The sequence below is a fragment of the Homo sapiens genome, chromosome 22, assembly GCF_000001405.40.
Source record: "Homo sapiens chromosome 22, GRCh38.p14 Primary Assembly".
NCBI classification, from domain to species: domain Eukaryota; kingdom Metazoa; phylum Chordata; class Mammalia; order Primates; family Hominidae; genus Homo; species Homo sapiens.
The window spans coordinates 26,694,849-26,718,667 of record NC_000022.11 but is presented as its reverse complement, the minus strand read 5'-3'; the positions used below and the strand labels follow the sequence as shown (position 1 = coordinate 26,718,667).

General features: G+C 43.8%; 1 long non-coding RNA gene across 1 annotated transcript in view, besides 2 other annotated features; it reads right to left on the bottom strand.

Annotated features, from left to right (window-relative positions):
• Positions 1–23,819, bottom strand: part of MIATNB (MIAT neighbor) — a 108,051-nt gene that overhangs the window by 62,226 nt on the left and 22,006 nt on the right. The window contains exon 2 of the long non-coding RNA NR_110543.1: positions 1,209–1,415. This is a non-coding gene — a long non-coding RNA (MIAT neighbor). The remainder of the gene's footprint in view (positions 1–1,208; positions 1,416–23,819) is intronic.
• Positions 9,726–9,825: an enhancer, noted in NCBI's record as "active region_18799". NCBI's record gives its function as "activates an Ori minimal core promoter by ATAC-STARR-seq in GM12878 lymphoblastoid cells {active_cell/tissue: GM12878}" and the evidence as "EXISTENCE:reporter gene assay evidence [ECO:0000049][PMID:35858748]".
• Positions 9,846–9,895: an enhancer, noted in NCBI's record as "active region_18798". NCBI's record gives its function as "activates an Ori minimal core promoter by ATAC-STARR-seq in GM12878 lymphoblastoid cells {active_cell/tissue: GM12878}" and the evidence as "EXISTENCE:reporter gene assay evidence [ECO:0000049][PMID:35858748]".

Below are 23,819 nucleotides of genomic sequence, written 5' to 3'. Positions count from 1 at the left end.
CTAGGTTGGAGCTTCAATGGCAAGCCTGCCTACTTTCCATCATGTGTGCTATCACCCGAGCTCGAGGGACCAACTTTAAGGGGTTCCAATGGGCTAGGGACAGAAAATGGGGATGTTTGAGGGGCCGTACTAATCTCGGAGGCACCATGATGTCCCTGGGTCTGTCTCCCCATGATAAGAATTAGCTGTGTGACCTTCCCTGAGCTGGACTTTGGTATCTTTTCAGGTAAAAAAAGAAGAAGCTGCATTTGACACCCCTCTTAGCTTCCTTCTATTTCCAAAATTCTGTACACTACAAATTTGCTGATAGTATGCAAATTGGCATAGACTAATTTATGCAAATTCACCTTGGTCCCTAGCAAGATTCAACCCAATTGAATATTGTTAACAACAGATACTTTCAAAAGGCAAAAAGGCCAGGCGCAGTGGCTCATACCTATAATCCTAGGACTTAGGAGGCCAAGGCGGGTGGATCGCTTGAGCCCAGAAGTTGGAGACTAGCCTGGGAAAAATAGTGAAAACCCATCTCTACAAAAAAAAAAAAAATAGAAAAAATTAGCTGGGCATGGTGGCATGCACCTGTAAATCCAGGTATTTTGACAGCTGATGGGGGAGGATGGCTTGAGCCATCTGGAGACTGAGGCAGCAGTGAGCCACGATTGCACCACTGCCCTCCAGTCTGGGTGACAGAGGGAGGCCCTGTCTCAAAAAAAAAAAGGCATATATTTAATGGGTGCAGAAGAAAGTGGTCCCCACCTCCCATCCCTGCCTGTTCCCCACCTATGTCCCAGAGCAGGGCACTCAGATTGTGGGTCCTTTTCCTTAGAATGAAGAGGTAGGAAAACAGGCAAGACATGAGCAATCTCTCACAGACTATGATGTGGACCAGCTGCTGCCGGTTACCTGGAGTTATTTGCTGCATGGGGGATGTCATCAGGGTTAAACTGGATCCCAGAGAGGAGATCCCTGCACTCCTATGATGCCCCAAGCCCTACCCAAGTAGAACTCGCAGACCCCTCTCCTGTCCTTGCACTCATGGGCCCCTCGCCCTGAGGCTGTTAGAAGCAGCTTGTCATAGGCAGCAAAATTAAAAATAAAATGTTAAAAAAAAAGAAGCAGCAGCAACATCTCTTCTCTAAACAGATCAATTCTTGCTGGGATGCCTCAATGGTCTCATTATGCTTGGCTAACCACCCTATGTTACTTACAGAGACCACTTGGTATTTCCGAAGAATTAAAACATTCCTCCAGCCGGGTCTCACTCGCAAGTACAATATGATCTCCCATCGTATGCTTTTAACCATAACCTCCTCAATATCCCAACCCAAACGTGGTCAGTGTAACTTGCATGGCTCCAATTCCAAGACAGGGTCATCAGACAGTGATCTCTGGAAAATTCCTCCCAGGTGGGCTACCTGTCAGAGAACCACAAAAAGACATTTTATTTTAAATTAACCTCCACTATGATATGAGTCTACGGCATCCAAGAAGGGATAAATCAGCTGCACAAAGAACTTTAAACCAGGCACAGTGGTGCACGGCTGTAGTCTCAGCTACCCAGGAGGCAGAGGCCAGACAATCACTTGAGGCCAGGAGATTGAGGCTGCAATAAACCATGATGATGCCTGTGAATAGCCACAACATTCCAGCCTGGGGAACATAGCGAGAGTCTGTCTCTTAAAGAAAATAATAATTAAGTAATTAATTTTGAAAAATTTGAAATAAATAAGGAGAACTTTGATCCAACCTTTAAACTCTAGGACTTGGTAGATAAGTTGGGAAGGGAGAGCATGCCTGGGGAGAAATTGTAGGAGAAAAGGCTTGGAGGTACGACAGAGCTGGTTCTCAGTAGAACAGTGAGGAAGACGATCTGCCAACCCACAGGAAAAGAAAATGGCCCTTTCAGGAGTAATGGGAAATAAGGGGGTTTTGTTTGGTTTTGTTTGTTTGTTTGCAACAGAGTCTTGCTCTGTTGCCCAGGCTAGAGTGCAGTGGCACAATCATAGTTCACTGCAGCCTCGAACTCCTGAGCTCCAGTGATCCTCCCATCTCAGCCTCCCTAGTAGCTGGGACTACGAGCACACTCCACCATGCCCAGCTAATTTTTATTTTTTGTAGAGATGGAGTCACACTGTGTTGCTCAGGCTGGTCTCAAGTTCCTGGACTCAAGCAAGTGCTGGGATTACAGGTGTGAGCCACTGTAGCCAGCCAGAAATAAATTTTAATAGATGGCATGGGGTCAGATTATCAAAGTCTTTGAAAGGCAGGCAGGTGAAGTTTATAGTTAATATAATAGGCAGGAGGGAGCCTCACAAGGTGTTTGAGCAGGGAAATAACAATGCAAGATAGAGTTGATCATTATTCAGGGGTTCTGTTTTTGCAAATTCACCTACTTGATAAAATTTATTTCTAACCCCAAAATCAATACCCACAACTCTTTCATGAGTGCTGGCAGTGTAGTGAAACATACGAGTCCCTGATACAAGTGTTTTCGTCTGCGGCTGAGCAAGGCTGTCTTATTTCAGCTCTCATACTGTTAGCTAGTCCTTTTCGCAGTCTTTTTAGTTCCATCTTTTTCACTTTGTTGCTTTTGGTGATTTTGCTCTTTAAAAGGGCCCAAGCACAGTGTTGAAGCGCTGTCTCGTGTTCCTAAACCTGAGAAGGTTCTGATGTGCCTTACAGAGAAAATGGCTGCATTCGGTTAGCTTCACTCAGGCATGAGTTACAGTGCTTCTGGCTGTGAGTTCAATGTTTAATAACCCAACGATAAATATTAAATAAGGTATCTTTAAACAGAAACACACATAAAACTTGGTTATGTATTGATCAGTTGACAATCTAGAAGCAATGCGTCAGTTTTCACTAATTCAGTGCTTGCAACTTTATATATAGAGCATAACTAGCATGAATAATGAAAATCGCCTATATCAGCATTTTGGACTCTAAGGAGACCACAAGACCATGAAAAGAAACCATCTCTTAAGAGAGTATATGCTCAGGAGCCAAACTACCTGGGTTCAAATCCCGGCTCTTCTGCTTACTAGCTGTGCCACCTTGGGCGAGTTGCTTACCTTCTCTGTGTCACAGTATCTCATCTGTGAAACAGAGACAATGGTTGTCTCTTTATCATACGGTGACTAGGAGAATTTAAATGTGTTAATGTTTGTCAAGTTCTCAGAAGATTGTCTGGGACATAATGAACACTATTTACATGTTTTGTGTTTGTTAAATAAATAAAGAAAAGGGATAAGGTGAGAGAAAGAGAGAGAGAGAGCATGCATCTCATTTCACAGGCGAGGAACCTGAATCAGGCCCACATCTAAGTCTTTCCAGCGACGAATTGGGGAGGAAGCTGGCTCTGGGGAACCCAGGTCAGAGTCAATTCAATGACTGGGTTGCAAAATTGACATAAGGTGGTGATGACAGCCACAGGTACAGGTGCTAACCCACGGTGCTGAGCAAAGTCACAGTGTGACTGCGGGACCCGCCAAGACCCATCCACCTGTGACAACCAAGGGACACTTCTTCATGCTTCCCCTTTCCAAGCCACAGCCAGATGGAACCCAGAATGCTCTAAAGATACACGTCTCCACCTCGCCCTTTAAGAATTACTAGGCATCTCCAGGCTGTGCCGCTGAGGAGCAAGAAATACTACCGCACCCCGGCAGAAAGCTAATGAGAAACCGAACACAGCCAGACAGAAGTTTAACAAGAAATACTGGCCCAGGCTCCCCAGAAGAAGAGCGGGCTCCGAAGGCCTGGCGGGCCGCCTGCCATCTCCCCTCATGCATCGATCGGTGCAGGGAAAGCTGGAGACCACGGGGAAGGAGATAAACGAGAAGATGTACGACAGGAGGGGCCAAGGGCTGATGAAAGGGGAAGGGATGTGGCTTAAATCAAGGGGCAAGTGCTGCGAGAGGGGAAGATAACAGGATTTGTGTTTACGGTTAATGAGGAGAATTGGTGGAGGTGCTGCTCTGGGGCAGGCGAGGTAGGTGAAGACTTGGGGAGGAAGAGGAAGAGGGGCCTCAGGGAGGGTACCCCATACTCCAAGCAAATCAATAACATGAGCCAGGCTAAGTCCCTAAAGTGGCAAAGTCCTTCCTGGTCCACTTGGCTGGAGCTACAATTGCCTTTTATCTTCTCTCCTTTGTTTCTTAACTTTCCTGACTGTCCAGGAAAGAATATCCACCTCTGCCCCTTTCTCCCACCACCAGGTCATCAGAATTCAAAGACCGTGTCTGGACAATAGGGACGAGAGGGGATGCTCACCGAGCACCTCCTCTGTGCTTCTGGCTGTGCCGAGAGCTTCCTGTGTCTTACTCCAACTAATATTCATCCCAGGATGGAAGCACTGTGGTTGTTCTCATTGCACAGATAAGGAAACTGAAATTCAGAGGGGCGCTCCAATGACACAGAACTGTGCTGAAATTCCAGCCCAGACAGCATGGCTCCAGTGCTAATCATGATTCCACACTGAGCCTGTTGACACCCTCAGCATTTATGACTAATGGGAAATTGTTTGCCTGCATTTCACGGCCTTGAACCACCTCCGATTTCTGCATCGCTGTGGCACACACTTCCATGCAGACTAGTAACACTCTTCGCAAGCAGCAGCCAGGAAACGACTCCACTTTTCTGCCTTAGGGACATCTCCAAAGATGCAGAAGCAGCTTAGTTCTCCACTAGGTGCAGCCAACAAGTACAAGGCACTCACGTCCCCAGGGCTGGCCCTCTGCTAGGGGTTCAGGAGTTGAGGGACAAATGCCCCCATCCCTCAAGGGAGCAATTCTGAGGCACATTCTGCGGGGCTCCTCAGAGGATGTGTTGCAGGCTAGAGTCCCAGTTTCCCCCAGTGATAACCAGCTACACATGCCCCCCATATGGTGGCCTGCTTTTCTTCCTCATCTCCCCGCTCCCTCACTCCTGCTTCCTGCATCTCCTTCCAACCAACCCTCCTGCATCCAAACCCTCCTCTCAGACCCCATTTGCCGGGGATCGCAAACTAAGACAAGACACCACCTAACTTAAATGTAAGAAATGTAAGAAATAAGACCAGCTAAACAAACTCTGGGGAGATCGTATGATAAGGAGATGAAAAGGGGTCTCTCTCTCTCTGTGGTTTTACAGACAGCTCTTTTAATGATTGAGCAAGATATTTCCTTGTTTTGTACACATTTCTATTAAAAATAGAATATGGCATTAAGACCAGTTATGGCGGCTCATGCCAGTAATCCCAGCACTTTGGGAGGCCGAGGTGGGTGGATCACTTGAGGTCAGGAGTTCGAGACCAGCCTGGCCAACATGGTGAAACCCCCATATCTACTTAAAGAATACAAAAATTAGTTGGACGTGGTAATGTGCACCTGTAATCCCAGCTACCAGGGGAGGCTGAGACAGGAGAATCACTTGAACCTGGGAGGCGGAGGTTGCAGTGAGCTGAAATCTAGCCTGGGCAACAGAGCAAGACCTCATCTCAAAAAAAAAAAAAAAAAATATATATATATATATATATATATACATATATGGCATTAAAATGGGGGGTATTTGAGCCTCTATTGAGGTAGTCTGCATTAATATATAATTTAGAACAGGATGAAAATAGTGACAATTTTAACTTCACTTTCTTATAATGATATGGTTTCTCTTTATCACCCATGAGAAATCCACACAACAGGGTCCCTCGACTGTGCTTCTTGGGGTGAGCAGAGTGGGGAACGGCAGTCACTCTATGTTCATCGTGGTGCTCGAAGGAGACTCCATTAGGTTCCTCGGGTCACCATAATAATAAATGCCCCGGACCAGTCATAATGGCTTACACCTGTAATCCCAACACTTTGGGAGGCTGAGGCAGAAAAGGTCGCTTGAGCTCAGGAGCTCAATACAAGCCTGGGCAACATAGTGAAAAACCTTCTCTACAAAATAATAATAATGATAATACAAAAATTACCCAGGCCAATGGCATGTTCCTGTAGTCCCAGCTACTCGGGAGGCTGAAGTGGGAGGATTGCTTGAGCCCAGGAGTCAAGGCTGCAATGAGCCGTGATTGCACCACTGCATTCCAGCATGGGCAACAGAGCGAGACCCTATCTCAAAACAAACAAACAAAAAGTACCCCAAACTGGAAGCCTTAAAACACAGAAATGTATTCTCTCATAGTTCTGGAGGCTCAGAGTCTAAGCTCCAGGTGCAGGAGGGCCATGCTCCCTCTGAAGCCTGTATGGGAGAATTCTCCCTTGCCTCTTCCAGCTTCCGGTAGTGGCCGTCAATCTTCAGCACTCCTTAGCTTGCAGCTGCATCTCTCTAATCTCTGCCTCCGTCATCATGTGACCTTCCCCCTGTGTGTCTGTCTTCACGTTATCTTCCTTCTTCTTATGAAGACACCAGTCATATTGGATTAAGGGTCCACCCTACGCCAGTACGCCCCCTTCTTATCTAATTATATCTGCAATTACCCTGTTTCCAAATAATATCGCATTCTGAGATACCGGGGATTAGAACTTCACCATCTCTTTTGTGGGACACAATTCAACCTATACCAGAGACTCAGATACCATGTTTTCAACCATCTCCTATGACAGATGGGGAAACTGAGGCAGTCAAAAAGAGTGGTTAAAACCCAAAGAAACCTGGGGCCCAAGTCCAGCTGGGCCACTTACCAGCAGAGTGACCTTTGGCAAGTAAGTTGCCTCTCTGAGCCTCAGTTTCTTCTTTGATAGAATATGGGTTAATAATAATCACGTCTTATTCAAAGGCATGTGGTGAGTTGCCATTCTCAGCCATTGCCTAAGAAATACTCTGTCTTGCAATTTCTCATTTCCTTCTTTACCCTGAGAGTCTGAAAAAAAAATCACAGCTTCAGCAAAGCATAGATAGATTCTGGCCTTTGGGGTCAAAACGACTTGAGTTTGCAAAACAGATGCTTCCTTTCCTAACTGTGTGACCATAGGAAGGTGACTTCACCTCTCTGTAAACTAAAGAGAATGCTAGTCCCTCCCTCCCAGAGTCAGTGAGAATTTAAACAACTGCACATGAAGCTCCAAGCAGAGAACATAGTACATGGTGCTTGATCAGAAGTAACCACTATTGCTGCTGCTGCTACTGCAGCAGGCACTGTCAGTATCCCACCCACATCCCCTTGGCAACCACTGACCTGACAGCTTCCTATTGCAAGTACCTGTGACTGTCTGCTGTCTCTGGCCACCGGATATGATCAGCTCACATACAGGACATATAGAAAGTGTCAGGGGCAGTTCACTATTCACCCCACCCCCCAGCCCTCAACCAATGGCTGACAGGAGGTGGTGAATAAATACCTCAGCTCCCTCACGTCTTGGATGAAACAACTAAAGGTATGAGGTATGCCCTACACAGCCTCCCAGAGGTCCCCAGCAGGACTGAGCTCATTGCCCACCATGTAACCTGCTCATTCATACACCTGCATTGGGTCCTTTTCTTCCCTGGCTAACTTCCCACTCCCCTCCTGTGGATCATCTCCTCTAGTAAATTACCTGCACTAAAGTAATTGTCTCAGGGTCTGCTTCTGGTGGAACCCAACCTAAAACATGTATTTCTAACCCAAGTTTCAGGGACCCTCAGGCCCTGGCTTTGTGTCTTTGGAGTCCCTCTGAAAGCACCAACCTCCTCCTCTTCCAGTACTCTCTTCAAACTTCCATTCCCACCTTACCAGAGAGGCTGCTGGATGTGATTGCCTCAGGGTGTTGGTGCCTGGAAATGCCAAGTACTTGATCTCCGTGAACTTTTCTTTTTCTCTTTCTTTTTCTTTCTTTCTTGCTTGCTTGCTTGCTTGTTTCTTGCTCACTTTTTTTTTTTTTTTAACAAGGTCTCACTCTGTTACCCATGCTGGAGTGCAGTGGCCTAATCATAGCTCACTGCAGCCTCAAACTCCTGGACTCAAGGGATCCTCCCACCTCAGCCTTCCTAGTAGCTAAGACTGTAGGTGCATAGCACCATGCCCAGCTAATAATTTTTTTTTTTGTAGAGATGGGGTCTCACTGTGTTGCCCAGGCTGGTCTCAAACTCCTGGTTGGGCTCAAGTGATCCTCCCATCTCAGCCTCCTAAAGTGCTGTGATTGCAGATGTGAGCCACCATGCCCAACACCACCCCCTCACCATCATGATCTCTTTTCTCTGCTTACCACCTAGCCTGAGACCCACACGAGAGAAAAGCCACACCCCAAGTTGGACAAATGCCCACTGCATGGGGCATCTTTCTTGTATGTGAAGGTCAAACTTGAGGTTTTCAGGTTTAGGTCAAGAATTAAAAAAAGAAAATCAATGGAGCCCTTTTTACAAAGTAAGTCAAGGGAGGAACTTCAAAATACAAAATAGGTAACTAGGAGTTGTGACCCTGACCTTCATCCTCAAAGCTGCCTCCTTGCTTTCTGCTGTGGCTACTGAGAGCTGGAGGAGGTAGGGTTGCCAGTTAAAATACATGACACCCAGTCAAATTTGAATTTCAGATAAACAAGGAATAGCATTTAGTATGACTATGTCCTATGCAATATTTGGAATATACTCATGCTGAAAAAATTCTCCATGTTTATTTGAAACTCAAATTTAACTGAGCTTGTGGTTTTCGTTTTCATTTGTTCCTTTGTTTTTGCTAAATCTGACAACTTTACCTAGGATCCCCTAATAAATACTGTTTAAAACCACTTTGTCTGTGGTTGTCCCTTAAATGGGCCTGGACTCTGGCAGTCAGATTCCTCCAAGAGTTTTTTAAAGGGCCCACCCAGGACAGGACAGGGACTTGGATGGTGTCTGCATCCCAGTGGGGTCTTGGTCACCTTGAAATGGAGCAAAACTAGGGTAAATTTGAACTCCAGGCTTCCGGCTATGAAAAGGGGAGGTCACTTGATTCTTTTCAAGTGATTCTGCATAGCTGTGATTGCAACATCCTGGGACACAGAATGTAGAAACTGGAGCCCTGAGGTGTCACCATCAGCCAACATGGTGCTAGGGGATGTTTTTCTCTGTACTAGGTAGACTTGGTCATGTGGGAGCTAGAGACGGGAAAATTGGAGAAGCTGAGAAGTTACATGTGTGTGAATGTGCCTTCTTTGGCAAAAAATTGGAACTTGCTAAGAACCACAGACCCCTCCCCACCCACAGAAGACACAAGGAATATTCTGACTAAGGGAAGAATTTTTATGGACTCCTCATCTAAGAAGCATACCAATGAGCCACCCACCCATTCATCCACACATCCATCCAGCTATCCATTCATTCATTCAACAAATGCTTGCTAAGCACCTATTATGTGCCAAGTTTGATGCTGAGTGCTGGGCATAGAAGCCCTAAAAGGGACATACATAGTCCTGACCCCATGGATTTCCCCTATGTAATGGGAAAAACAAAGAAGGCTGTAAGCAACCAAAAAAATAAATAAACTGATTACAGAGTACAAGTTCTTTGCAGGATTCATATCCTGTGATCCTTAGTTCACTTTTTATTACATTTAAAAATGCTTTTGTTCATCCCTGTCTCCATTTCTGCCAGCAAAATTGAGCTCCAGGAACCAACTTTTTTGTGATAATATCAAACAATGACATTCCAGGGCCTGGCCTTAACAATGCAAAAGGCTTCACAATTAACAGAGGAAGGCTCAAAAGGCGATGAAGAGGAGAGTTCCTCTCTCCTGTAGTCACCATGGGGCAGATATCTTCCTGCTTCACAAAATGAGCTTCAAAGAATTCGATTTGATAAGATGTGAAATTGAGAACATTCTTAGGAACATGCAGTCTCATTTTTCAGTGCCATATGGAGATGCGTGTGAATATCTATAATTGTTAAGCAACTGGAACTGAAAGTACACTGTGAGCAAAGGGGTCCTGAGAAATTCTTAAGACGTTATTTTCATGTCCTGTGAAACTAACGTTCAAAGAGAGTCATGGCATTCTGATTGATTGCCTTACCTGACAATGGGCTGCCTGGTAATCATTGCAGTGAGCATCTCTGTGTTATCCATACAGAAATAGGTGTGGAACGGTAGAGTCAAATCAGAAGAGGAGTCACTGACACTTTCTTCTTCTTCCTCAAGACTGATTGGGGGGAAAGGCCTATGACTCTAATAGATTCCACATTTTTAATAAAAAGACTGGACATCTAGCTCTTTAAATAAATCATTTTAATTTGGTGGTTAGGAAAGATCATCTCTGATGAGATGGAAAAATGCTGAAAAGCTGAGACCCAAGGTTAAGAAATTCATCCATAAAGAGTAGGAAGAGGTTGGGCACAGTGACTCATGTCTGTAATCCCATCATTTGGAAGACCGAGGTGGAAGGATGGCTTGAGCCCAGGAGTTCGAGACCAGCCTGGACAACATGACAAGACCCTGTCTCTACCAAAAAAAAAAAAAAATGTAAATTAGCCAGGTGGCACATTCCTGTGGTCCCAGCTACTCAGGAGGCTAAGGTGGGAGGATCATTTGAACCCAGGAGGTTGAGGCTGCAGTGAACTGTGATCTCGCCACTGCATTCCAACCTACGTGACAGAGTGAGACCCTGTCTCTAATAAATAAGTAAATAGCAAAAATAAAATTAAAAAGAGAGAGAGCAGGAAAAAGAACATTACAGACACAAGAAACAGCAAGTGCACTCCAGCCTGGGTGACAGAATCACACCCTGTCCCAGAAACAAAAAACGAAAAACAGCAAAGGCCTGAGACAGGAGTTAGCTCTTGAGCATTTGAGACACCTAACAAAGTCAGCAGAAGTGGAACATAGAGAGGAAGCATGTGGAGATGAGGTGGAGAGGTCCATGATGGTCGGCACTCAAGGCTTTGTGGAGCATGCATTTTATTCTTCTGGTGACAAGAGTCAATAGATGGCTTCAAGCCAGAGAATGAGCTTTCACAAAGCAGGCTCAGTCACGCAGAAAGATCAGAATGCAGGATTGGTCACTGTTGGAGCTGACTTTTCATTCTGCATGCATGTCATGGCTCAGCACAGAAGGAGTTTGACTTCTCATAAAATTACCTGCACTTTGTAAATAATCTGACTCCCCTGGTCCAATAGAAGCAGAAAGAAAAAATGTTTAAAGCCAAAATAATACAAAACAAAAAAGAACCTGCTTACCCCTGAGAGCATGAGCATGAGGGACATGTTGTCTACTGCCAGCATGGAGTGGGAAATGAGTTTAGAGTTGGCCCTCCACAGGGGGGATTTGTGGTTCCTTGAAACTGTCAAATAAATTACCCATATTTAGTAACTGTAATGTTGTTTGGGTATTACACTCAATGGATTTGTCTGACACTCCAGGCATCTTATTTCCCCATCCATCAAACTCCCACTCACCATTATACACACAGCTGAATGGCTAAAGTGGAAGGAACTGACACCACCGAACGTTGGCAGGGATGAGGAGGAACTGGAATGCTCATCTATAGTGAGTGGAAGTACAAAATGGTACAACCATTTTGGAAAATTTTTAGCAGTTTATTAAAAAGTTAAACAAATTTGTCATATGACCCATTAATCTTGCTCTCAGAAATTTACCTAAAAGAAATGAAAATATATCCTCAAAAAATCTTGTGCAAAAATGTTCATAGCTGTTTTACTCATTATAGGCAAAACCTACAAATACGTCAGATTTGCAGGAGAACAGATAAACTGAGGTATATTCATAGCATTCAGCAATAAAAAAAGAAATGAGTGGTCCAGCATGATGGCTCAAGCTTGTAGTCCCAACACTTTGGGAGGTCAAGGCAGAAGGATTGCTTGAGCCCAGGAATTCAGGACTAGCATGGGCAACATGATGAAACCCTGTCTCTACAAAAAAATACAAAAATTAGCCAGACATGGTGGCCTGTGCCTGTAGTCCCAGCTATTTGGGAGGCTGAGGTGAGAAAATGGCTTGAGCCAGGGAGGTTGAGGCTGCAGTGAGCTGAGATCATGCCACTGAACTCCAGCCTGGGTGACAAAGTGAGACCCTGTCTCAAAAAAAAAAAAGGAAGTTGGGCACTGTGGCTCATGCCTGTAATCCCACCACTTTGGGAGGCTGAGGTGGGCGGATCATGAGGTCAGGAGATCGAGACCGTCCTGGCTAACACGGTGAAACCCCATCTCTACTAAAAATACAAAAAATTAGCCGGGCATGGTGACGGGTGCCTGTACCTACTCCAGCTACTCCTCCAGCTACTCAGGAGGCTGAGGCAGGAGAACGGCATGAACCCAGGAGGCAGAGGTTGCAGTGAGCCGAGATCGGGCCACTGCACTCCAGCCTGGGAAAAGAGTGAGACTCCGTCTCAAAAAAAAAAAAAAAAAGAGCAATTAACATATGTTACAGCATGAAGAAATCTCAGAAGCATTATGCTAGATAAAAAAAACAAATAGAAAGGCTACATGCTGTGTATGATTTCATTTACAAAAAGTTCTTGAAAAATAAAAACTAACTCACGGTAATAGAAATCAGATCAGTGGTTGCTTTTAGGAATGAAGGAATTACCTGGCACAATGAAGTTTTCTGTGGTGGTGGTGATGCCTTGTTTCTTAATAGAGATATGGGTTGCACAAGTGTATGCCTTTATCAAACTGATATAACTGTGTACTTAACATTAAGAATTTCACTGAATATAAAAGATAATGTAACAATTAACTCAAGATGGATTAAAGACTTAAATGTAAAACCCAAAACTATAAAAACCCTGGAAGACAACCTAGGCAATACCATTCAGGACATAGGAATGGTAAAAGTTTTTATGACAAAAATGCCAAAAGCAATTGAAACAAAAGCAAAATTTGACAAATGGGATCTAATTAAGCTAAAGAGCTTCTGCAAAGCAAAAGAAACTATCAACAGAGTAAACAGACAGCCAACAGGATGGGAGAAAAATTTTGCAAACTATGCATCTGACAAAGGTCTAATATTCAGCATCTATAAGGAACTTAACCTAATTTACATGAAATAAACAACCCCATTAAAAAGTGGGCAAAGGACATAACAGACACTTTTCAAAAGAGGACATACATGTGGCCAATAAGCAAATGAAAAAAATAGCTTAACATCACTGATCACTAGAGAAATGTAAATCAAAACCACAGTGAGATACCATCTCACACCCGTCAGAATAGCTATTATTAAACAGTCAAAAAATAACAGGTGCTAGCGAGGCTGCCGAGAAAAAGGAATGCTTATACACTGCTGGTGGGAGTGTAAATTAGTTCAACCATTGTGGAAAACAGTGTGGCGATTCCTCAAAGACCTAAAAACAGAACTACCATTCAACCTAGCAGTCCTATTACTGGGTAGATACCCAAAGGAATATAAATTTTTCTATCATAAAGTCACATGCACACATATGTTCACTGCAGCACTATTCACAGTAGCCAAGACATGGAATCAACCTAAATGCCCAACAATAATAGACTGGATAAAGAAAATATGGTACATATACTCCATGGAATACTATCCTCTGCAGGAACATGGATGGAGCTGGAGGCCACTATCCTTAGCAAACTAATCCAGGAACAGAAAACAAAATACCGCATGTTCTCACTTCTAGGTGGGAACTACATGATGAGAACACATGGACATATAGAAGGGAACAACACACACTAGGGCCTATCAGAGGGTGAGAAAAGGGAGAGGGCCAGGAAAAATAACTAATGGATACTAGGCTTACTACCTGGCAGATGAAATAATCTGTAAGCAAACCCCCATGACATGAGTTAACTATATAACAAACCTGCACATGTACCCTTCAAGTTAAAATAAACGTTAAAAAAAAGAAAAAAAGAATTTCACTGAATATAAAGGATACCTCATTTTTAACGTAAAAATAAATAAGATTCTATTACTCTGGGCAGTCTTCTCTACCTTTATGGTGTAGAACTACACCTCAGAGTTACTACACGAGGGGAGGTAGCTGGGGTATTTATATACCAACTCCTATTAGTCATTGGATGAAGGCTGCTGGAAGTGGAGGTGTAATTCCCCAGCACCTCCAGCTGGCCCTGAGTACCTGCAGAGCAAGCCCAGTGGGCAAAGAGAGCTCCTTTAGGAAAAAAAATGCAGAAATGTGGGAGTCAAGCTGGCATGCACGAAACTGGCACGTACCAGGGTAATATGGGCGGGGCCCCAACAGCATCCACTACAGGCCCTGTTGTGTCTGCTCCTATAGCCTCCTGTGTGTATAATTGTACCCTAACAGTAGAAACAGCAATTAAAAACTTAGGTTACAGAACCAGGCAGAACAAGCCTCAGATTTCAGCTCTCTCACTTTCTAAGTGACATGTTGGGCAAATGGTGCTTCTTCTGAAAAATGGGGTCCGTGAATTGTTGAGGACATTCAATGAGATAATCTCTGTTCTGTGCTTACCATAGCACATGATATGAACTCTTATTATGGCACATCAGAGAAACTCCAATAAACAATAACAGCAACAATTATTTTTTCTACCATGTTCACTCTATTTTCCAAAAAAAAAAAAGGTCAAACTCAAAATTTTTTCATTAAAGATTTTCTCCCTTAAATTATTTTGAAAATTTAATTGTTGAAGAGATAATACATTTACAAAGTTTGAAATCCAATTTTTTTTTTTTTTTTTGAGACAGAGTCTCGCTCTGTCTCACAGGCTGGAGTGCAGTGGTGCGAGCTCGGCTCACTGCAAGCTCCGACTCCCGGGTTCACGCCATTCTCCTGCCTCAGTCTCCAGAGTAGCTGGGACTACAGGCGCCCGCCACCACGCCCGGCTAATTTTTTATATTTGTAGTAGAGACGGGTTTCACCGTATTAGCCAGGATGGTCTCGATCTCCTGACCTTGTGATCCGCCCGCCTCGGCCTCCCAAAGTGCTGGGATTACAGGCGTGAGCCACCGCGCCCGGCCGAAATCCAAAAATAATTGAAGGATACACTGAAAAGGCTTTCTCCTTTGACACACCAGCCACCCAGTTGCCCTCCCCACAAGCAAATGAGATTATCAGCATGTTTGTGTATTTTTCCAAAGGTATTTGCAGATGGTAGTCTAAAATATTCTAAGTCTGCTTCTGTTTATCTATGGCTGAATCTAGTACATGATTCAGTGTTTGGTTTGGCATGAATAATATATGCAGGTTTTATTTTGAAATCATGTTAGATTTACAGAAGAGTAGCAGAGATGATACAAAGAGTTCTTGGACATCCTTCACCCAGCATCCCCCAATGCTACTATTTTACATAACCACAGCGCATTTATCAAAACTAAGAAGGTGACGTTGGTACACTGCAATTAACAATACTACAGATTGTATTTAGACTTTACCAGTTTTTTCATTAAAGTGGATCTAATCCAGGATGGTGTGTTGCATATGTCTTGGCATCCCTTTAGGGCACCAAGATACCTAATGCTCCACATTTAAGAATTGCTAGCACAGAGGAGCATGGAGCACTTTATTGGTGTCACTACCACAGTGGGACTGGAAATTCAGGTCACCACCCCTGCTGTGTGTCCTTGGAAAACTCACCTTTCCTCTCTGGGCTTTAGCCTCCCTTTCAATACAATGCAGCAGTGAAACCATATCAGCCTTTCTGACCTTGTGTGGTCAAAGCAATGTGATGAACTCCACACACTCTAACACCTCTTAGATATCCCAATGTTCATTAGCATGTTAAAGGCTCTGATAAGTCCTGCAACAAAACACCTGTTTTAATATCACTTAACTCAGCATTGCTCAGGCACACTGGATTAGGGAGGCAATTTTTACCCTCCATATTTATCTACAGAAGTGTGTCCCAGAGTAGAGCCTTTGGGGCATGATGGACTAAATGATAATAAAGCCTGTTAACAGTGCCTCAATTTGATGGGGTTTCAAGAACAAGCACACTGCCTAGAGAAAGCTGGTCATGAAAACTTGGAAGGACAGACACAAAGGGGAAGACTGACCAAAAACTTGGCTGACTTTCCCTTGGCTCCCCAGCTCTTCTTAGCCAGCCCAGACCTGGGTATTGTGGAACCCCTATAGAGCTGCATGTGGCAACCTCCTTGGAAGGAAACTTAGCAATGTGCCTCAAATTGTCAGTGCACATGCTCTTGAACTCAGTGATGATGTGTCTAGATGCATCCACACCTGAGCACAGAGGGGTTTGTGCAGGCTAATCACAGCCTCAAGGCTTGAGGTGGCAAAAGACTGAAAATAATGCAATATCCCATCATACAGGACTGATTACAGAAACGACGGTCCATGCAGGCAGTGGAATTCCACACAGCCATGAAGAAAGAAAAAGAGTGTGTGTGTGTGTGTGTGTGTGTGTGTGTGTGTGTGTGTGTACATGCTCATATGCACCTCACATATACTTGGTCACAATGTGTGGACCATCTCAAGAAGGATAACATGACACTGGGAACCGTGGTTGCCTCCAAATAGAAGAACTGAAAGACCTGGAGGCAGGAGTGGGAGAACTTGATTTTTCACTGACTATTCCCCTGTACCTTCCTAGTTTTGTACCTTGCATGCATTGCTTATTTAATTAATTAAAATAATAATTTCTAAAAGAATGAGACATAGTTTAATTTATCTATAGAATGGAATGCTGTACTATATGCAGTTGTTTAAAAAGAAGGGAAAAAAGAAAGAATGGGGAAGCTGTTTATGTACTGAAATGAAAATATCTACACGTTTCAGTGAAAAAAAGCAAAATGTAGAAATATATATGGATTATATTATTCTTGAGTTTAAAATAAGATTATAGATATATTTTCTTGTATATATGTATATATGTAAAAATTTCTGGAAGGATATTAAAAAGCTAATATAATCATACGAAAATAATCATAGTTATGCGGGGTGGAGTGGAAGCAGGAAACGTTTCACTCTATTCCTTCAAATATATTCAGGTATATTACACCTTTATATATTTTATTATATGTATTTGAACAATGAGTATATTACCCCTTCAAAGTTACATAAATATGAATGCAGGAAATCTATATGGACAGATGCATAACAATTTTCCATATATAGTTAAACAGAAAAAGCAAGTTTGCAGAACAGTGTGTACAGTATCACTTGTCTACCACAAAATGTGTGTGTATATGTGTGTATGTGAGTGTTTATATACATACATATATATACATTTACACACACACACACAATTGAAAGCACACACTCCTCCTGGAAGAATTCAGAAAAAACTGCTAACAATGACTTCCCCTTTTGAGGGTACCTGGAGACAGACAGGGATTATTCACCCTGAAAAACTACTTGAATGGTTACCACGTGCATAAAAATGTTTTTAATGTTTTAAAAACATCTGTGAAATAATGGTCACCATAACTAAGTTTTTTAGCAAAAAATTAGAAATAAATATGTTTTTCCTTTGGGAAGGATTGGTATAAATTTCAGCCCATCCATACTCTAGAATCCTCTTCAGATATTAAAATATTTGAAAAATTAAATGTGGGCCAGGTGTGGTGGCTCACACCTGTAATCCCAGCATTTTGGGAGGCCGAGGTGGGGGCATCACTTGAGCCCAGTTGTTCAAGACAAGCCTGGCCAACATAACAAGGCCTCATCTCTACAAAAAAATAGAAAAAAATAGCCTGTAGCCCTAGCTACTCAGGAGGTGGGAGGATCACATGTGCCCAGGAGTTTGAGGCTGTAGTGAGTCGTGATCGCACTACTGCACTCCAGCGTGGGTGACAGAGCAAGATCCTAGCTCAAATTAAAAAAAAAAAAAAAAAAAAAAAACCAACTAAATGCTAAATGTATATTTATTTACACTGACCTGATAAGAAACAATGTATTATTGTGAAACAACATATTATTATGAAACTATGTATTATTAAATAATACAATGTATTATTAAGTAAAATTTCAGAACCAAAAATATGATATAACCCAATTTTTGCAGTAAAGCCTCTATGTACTTGTGTGTACACATGCATATATATTGTATTATATAAACAACATGTAGAAGATTCAAATCCTGACTCTCTTACTTATTAGCTGTGTGATCTTAGACTAGCTACTAAAAATTTGGGGGCCTCAGTTTTCTCATTTGTAAAATGGGTACAACTATTCTACCAGCCTTGAATTAACTCATTTGATTCTTCTAACAACTTAGAGCAGCAGTTCCTAACCTTTTTGGCACCTGAGACCAAGTTTGTGGAAGAATTTTCCATGGACAGTGAGGGTGGGGATGGTTTCAGGATGATTCAAATGTACTTCATTTATTGTGTACTTTATTTCCACTATATTACATTGTGATATATAATGAAATAATTATCCAACTTATTATAATGTAGAATCAGTGGAAGCCCTGAGCTTGTTTTCCTGCAACTAGAGAGTCCCATCTGGGGGTGATGGGAGATAGTGGCAGATCATCAGGCATTAGATTTTCATGAGGAGCGTGCAACCCAGAATTCTCACATGCACAGTTCACATAGGGTTTTCTCTCCTATAAGAATCTAATGCCACCATTGATCTGACAGGAGGCAGAGCTCAGGCAGTAATGAAAGTAATGGGGGGGTGGCGGCAAATAAAGATGAATCTCCACTGGCTTGCCCACAGCTTACTTCCTGCTGTGTGGCCCAGTTCTTAACAGGCCATGGTCCATGGCCTGCAGGTTAAGGACCCCTGACTTAAAGCATAATGCCTGTCCCATAGTACACAATTTGTAACTAATAGTTATTGCCATCTATCTCTCTACTGTCAGTGTATTAGCCCACTTTCACACTGCTATAAGGGAATACATGAGACTGGGTAATTTATAAAGAAGTTTAATTGACTCACAGTTCCACATGGCTGAGGAGGCCTCAGGAAATTTACTATCATTGCAGAATGGGAAGCAGTCACCTTCAAAGTGAAGGGGGAAGACCCCCTTATAAAATCATTAGATCTTGTGAGAACTCACTCACTATCATGAGAATAGCATAGGGAAAACCGCCCCTATGATCCAATCATCTCCCTCCCTTCATACACGGGGATTTTCAATTCAAGATGAGATTTGGGTAGAGACGCAGAGCCAAACCGTATCAATCAGGAAATTGCTGACATATTTGATGTGGATTATAGAGACAGGGAGCTGGTGGTGTTCACTGGCACACTCTACACTGGTTACCCTAGAATATGGGATTTGAGTGGGCCAGGAAGTATCAACACCTTCTATTTTATACACTGCTATGTTGTTTGACTGTTTGGTTTTGGTTTGTTTTTACAACAAACTTGCATTATTTTACAATTAAGCTAGAAGAAACCATATGAGAAAACAAATTAGTTGCAAGGAGGCAGATGCTCTCCAACCCACAGTTGGGGAGAGCAGGGGCTGCATGTAGTATGACCATGCCTCACCTTTTGCACCCATAAAGCAGGGAGACAGGACCCAAGCAGCGCACTGTGCATCCTGCAGCTAAATCTGTCCACCTTCCTCCCTTCTGCAAGACACAGGTGCCCAGAGTCAGAAATTACATCTGGGCTGTTCAGATTTGTGGCCACTCTCCCCAGTCATTCAGAGCATGGGGAAATTCAGCCTCATGCCACCATTTTTCAAGCACCACTGGTAGAGGAGGAGACATCAGCTCTGCACCCACCTTGGTCTGAGCACCAATCTCCGTGGAAGATGTTGGGAGAAACAGCATTTCTTCAAGGGCATTTGCAAAGGGCTTCAGTTAACAGAGGGCCTACAAAACCATTAGCCGTGAAATCCCTTCAGCACCTCCTAATGAAGATCCCCTGTGAACAGACCAAGAAAAGGGCTCCAAGAAGGAAAAGATGCACCCAAGGTAACAGCTGGAAGATAAAGGAGCCCGCATTCCAACACAGATCTGTCTGTCCCAGTGCACATGCAGTTGAGGCCACACAGAAGCAGAGGTTGGATCCACCACATTTCAGAGAAACCATTCATGTATTCAACAAAAATGGAACCAGGTGTTTTGTGCCTGCTACATGCCAGGCCCTGACCTAGACTCCGATAGCACAGAGATTTGTTTGCCATTCAACACAGGTTTATTTAACACCTACTCTCCTCCAGGAACTGGGCGAGGCACTGGGGCTACAATGGAGGACAAACAGGCATGATCCCTGCTCTCAGAGTCCCTGCTTTCAGAGTCCCTGCTCTCAGATTCTTTTGTAAATAAGGTGAAACAATTATTTATCCTAAAATGAAGGTAACATAGTATCTTCTGAGGGGAGGTCCACAGAGCTGATAACGTGAATTTGAATTAATCTGGGGAATCCAGGAAGGCTTCCCTAAAGAAGTGAAGCTTGCACTAAAATCTAAAGAAGAAGTAAAGAAGATGAGGAGGGAAAGAAAAGGCATCCAAGTAATGAGAACAGCATGTGCAAAGGCCCTGTGGTAGGACGCACCAAGGACCCAAAGGCAACCCTTTTGGCTGGACTAGAGAGATCAACGGGTAGTGCCATGCAAAGTGACAGTGAAAAAGGAGACAATTGCCAGGTGCGGTGGCTCATGCCTGTAATCCCAGCACTTTGGGAGGTCGAGGCGGGTGGATCAACTGAGGTCAGGAATTCGAGACCAGCCTGGCCAACATGGTGAAACCCCAACTCTACTAAAAATACAAAAAAATTAGTCGGGCATGGTGGGCGGCTGTAATCCTAGCTACTCAGGAGGCCAAGGCAGGAGAACTGTTTGAACCCAGAAGATAGCGGTTGCAGTGAGCTGAGTTCATGCCATTGCACTCCAGCCTGGGCAACAAGAACAAAACTCCATCTAAGAAAAAAGAAAAAGGAGAGAGACAATGAAAACCCATCCAGGTAAGGATCTGGTCTTCACCCTAAGGCAATGGGAAATCCTCAAAGAATTCTAAGAAAAACTGAAATGATCAGCTTCACCCTCTGGCAATCAAATAAGAGTAAGAGATGTATAAAGAAGTAATCACAACCAAAAAGATACACCTGAGACAGAATAAGTTCAGGTAGCTGCGCAGTCACCTAATGCAATTAGAGGGATATGAGCTTCTTAGAGGAGGAGATATTCTAAATAAAATATTTTTTAAGCCCATCACAAAATCCTGAATCTGAAAGGTTCAAACGGGCTCCTTCCAACACAGGTGCAAGCCCATTTCAGAGATGAGGTCCAGGGACCCCAGTCTCATGGTGGCGGACCACAGACCAGAAGCCACAGGGCTCTCTCTGACTCCTTGCACAGTGCTTACAAGTTTTCCTGGCTGGATTAAGTTCCTAATTTGTCCCTAAGCCTCAGCAACAAGCCAGAGGCTAAACAGGCCTGATGCAGGCAGAACCCTGGGCTCATCCTAGAGTCCCCAGAGTCTCTAACCCACCAGGGGTGGAAGGTGAGACAGGTCTAGGGAGCTGGAAGCCTGTGCTCTTCCCCAGAGAATCTCCTTCTCCCAGCTGGAGAGCCCCCCACAAAGCCATCTAAGCAGCCCCGGGGGAGGCATTTAGGTAAGAGGACTCCAGGGAGCCTTCAGAGTAATTTTCAAGGAGGGCTGAGGCCAGTGAGAAAGGGGATTATTAGCTCTGCTCTCTGGAGGGAAGTTGATGCAGACAAGTCGGTGAGTGGGTTACTCAAGAGAAGGGGCATTTATAGTCCCTTTCCTTCTAAGCAGAGGACATTCATGATGCCTGGGGATTCAGACAGAGCCCTACTGAGGAAACAACCACAGCGGTGATAATAGCTCAATAAAAATAAATCGATATGAAGAACTCTTACAACTCAACAACTAAAAGACAAACAACCCCATTTTTTTAATGGGCGGAGGACCCGAAGAGACATTTCTCCAAAGAAGATATGCAAACGGCCAACAAGCGCATGAAAAGATGCTCAATGTCATTCATCAGAAAAATGCAAATCAAAACCACAGTAAAATCTCACTTTGCACCCTTATGAATAGCTATAATTAAAAAAAAAACGATAATAGCAAGTATTGGCAAGGATGTGGAAAAACTGGAACTTTTATACACTGCTGGTAGAAATATAAAATGGTGCAGCCACTTTAAAAGATGGTTGACAGTTTCTCAATGACTTAAACCTACCAGCAATTCAACACATGTGTGTGTAGGTATATACCCAAAAGAACTAAAAACAAGTGTTCAAACAGATACTAGTATACCAATGTTCGTGGCAGCATTATTCACAGTGGCCAAAAGTTGGAAACTCCAATATCCATCAACAGATGAGTGGATAAGTAAAATGTGATATATACATTCAATGAAATATTATTTAGCCATAAAAATGAATGAAATAGGCCGGGCGCGGTGGCTCACGCCTGTAATCCCAGCGCTTTGGGAGGCTGAGGCAGGCGGATCACGAGCTCAGGAGATCGAGACCATCCTGGCTAACACGGTGAAACCCCAACTCTACTAAAAATATAAAAAATTAGCCGGGCGTGGTGGCAGGCGCCTGTAGTCCCAGTTACACAGGAGGCTGAGGCAGGAGAATGGCGTGAATCCAGGAGGCGGAGGTTGCAGTGAGCCGAGATCGCACCACTGCACTCCAGCCTGGGCGACAGAGCGAGACTCTGTCTCAAAAAAAAAAAAGAATGAAATACTGATACATGCGACAACATGGATGAACCTTGAAAACATGCTAAGTGAAAGAAGCCAAGCATGTATTGTACAATTCCATTTATATGAAATACCCAGAATAGTCAAACTGATAGAGACAGAAAGCTGATTAGTGGTTGCCTAGGTTTTGCGGGAAGGAGGCAAGGGGGAGTGACTGCTAATAGTTGTGGGATTTCCTTTCAGGGTAATGAAAATGTTCTGGAACCAGATAGTGATGATGCTTATACAACCTTGTGAATGGACTAAAGGCCACTGAATTGTCCACTTTAGAAAGGTTAAAATGGCAAATTTTAGGTTATGTGTCTTTCACCACAACTCTTAAAATCTAGGAACATAAATAAATAGATGGACTGGGAAACCACCCAGTAGCTCCTCAGCACGCCCAAGAATAAAATCCAAAAGACAAGCTCTTACCTACAAGGCCCTACATGAGTTATCCTCCCCTCTCTCATTCAGCTCCTTGCTGATCTTTGAACACATCAAGCAGGATCCCACCTCAGGGCCTTTGCTCCTGCTGTCTCCCTCTACCTGGCAGGTCAGGTCTCCACTCTGCTCACTCCATCTACCTCACATAGGCCATGGCAGATAGACTCAAAGGGGCTCCCAATGCCCCCCACCTCTCAGTATTTACCCATTTGTATAACCTCCACCCTTACATATGGGCAGGACCAAGAGCTTGCTTCTAATCAATAGAATACAATAAAGAGGACCCAGCATGGTGACTCATGCCTGTAATCCCAGCACTTTGGGAGGCTGAGGCAGGCAGATCACTTGAGGTCAGCAGTTGGAGACCAGCCTAGCCAGCATGGTGAAACCCTGTGTCTACTAAAAATACAAAAAAATTAGCCCAGTGTGGTCGTGCATGCCTGCAATCCCAGTTACTCAGGAGGCTGAGGCAGGAGAATCACTTGAACCCGGGAGGTGGAGGTTGCAGTGAGCCGTGATTGCACCACTGCAGTCCAGCCTGAGTGGCACAGCAAGATTATTCCATCTCAAAAAAAAAAAAAAAAACCCACAGAGGAAAGAATACAATAAAGGGGACAGGAGGCTGCTCTCATGACTACATCATATAAGACTGTAATTAATGCCCATCTTGCTAGGAGACTCTCCTTGCTGGCTTTGATGAAGCAAGCAGCCACACTGGGGTGGGCCATGTGCAGTAGCCTCTGGCCAACAAACAGCCAGGCAGTGAGGGCTGCTTCCATCTTATAGCCAGCAAGAAACTGAGGCCCTCAGTCTTACAGCCCACAAGGAACTGAATTCTGCCAACAACCCCATGAGTTTGGAAGTGGATCCTTCCCCGGTTGAGTTTCAAGTGAGGCTACAGCCCCAAC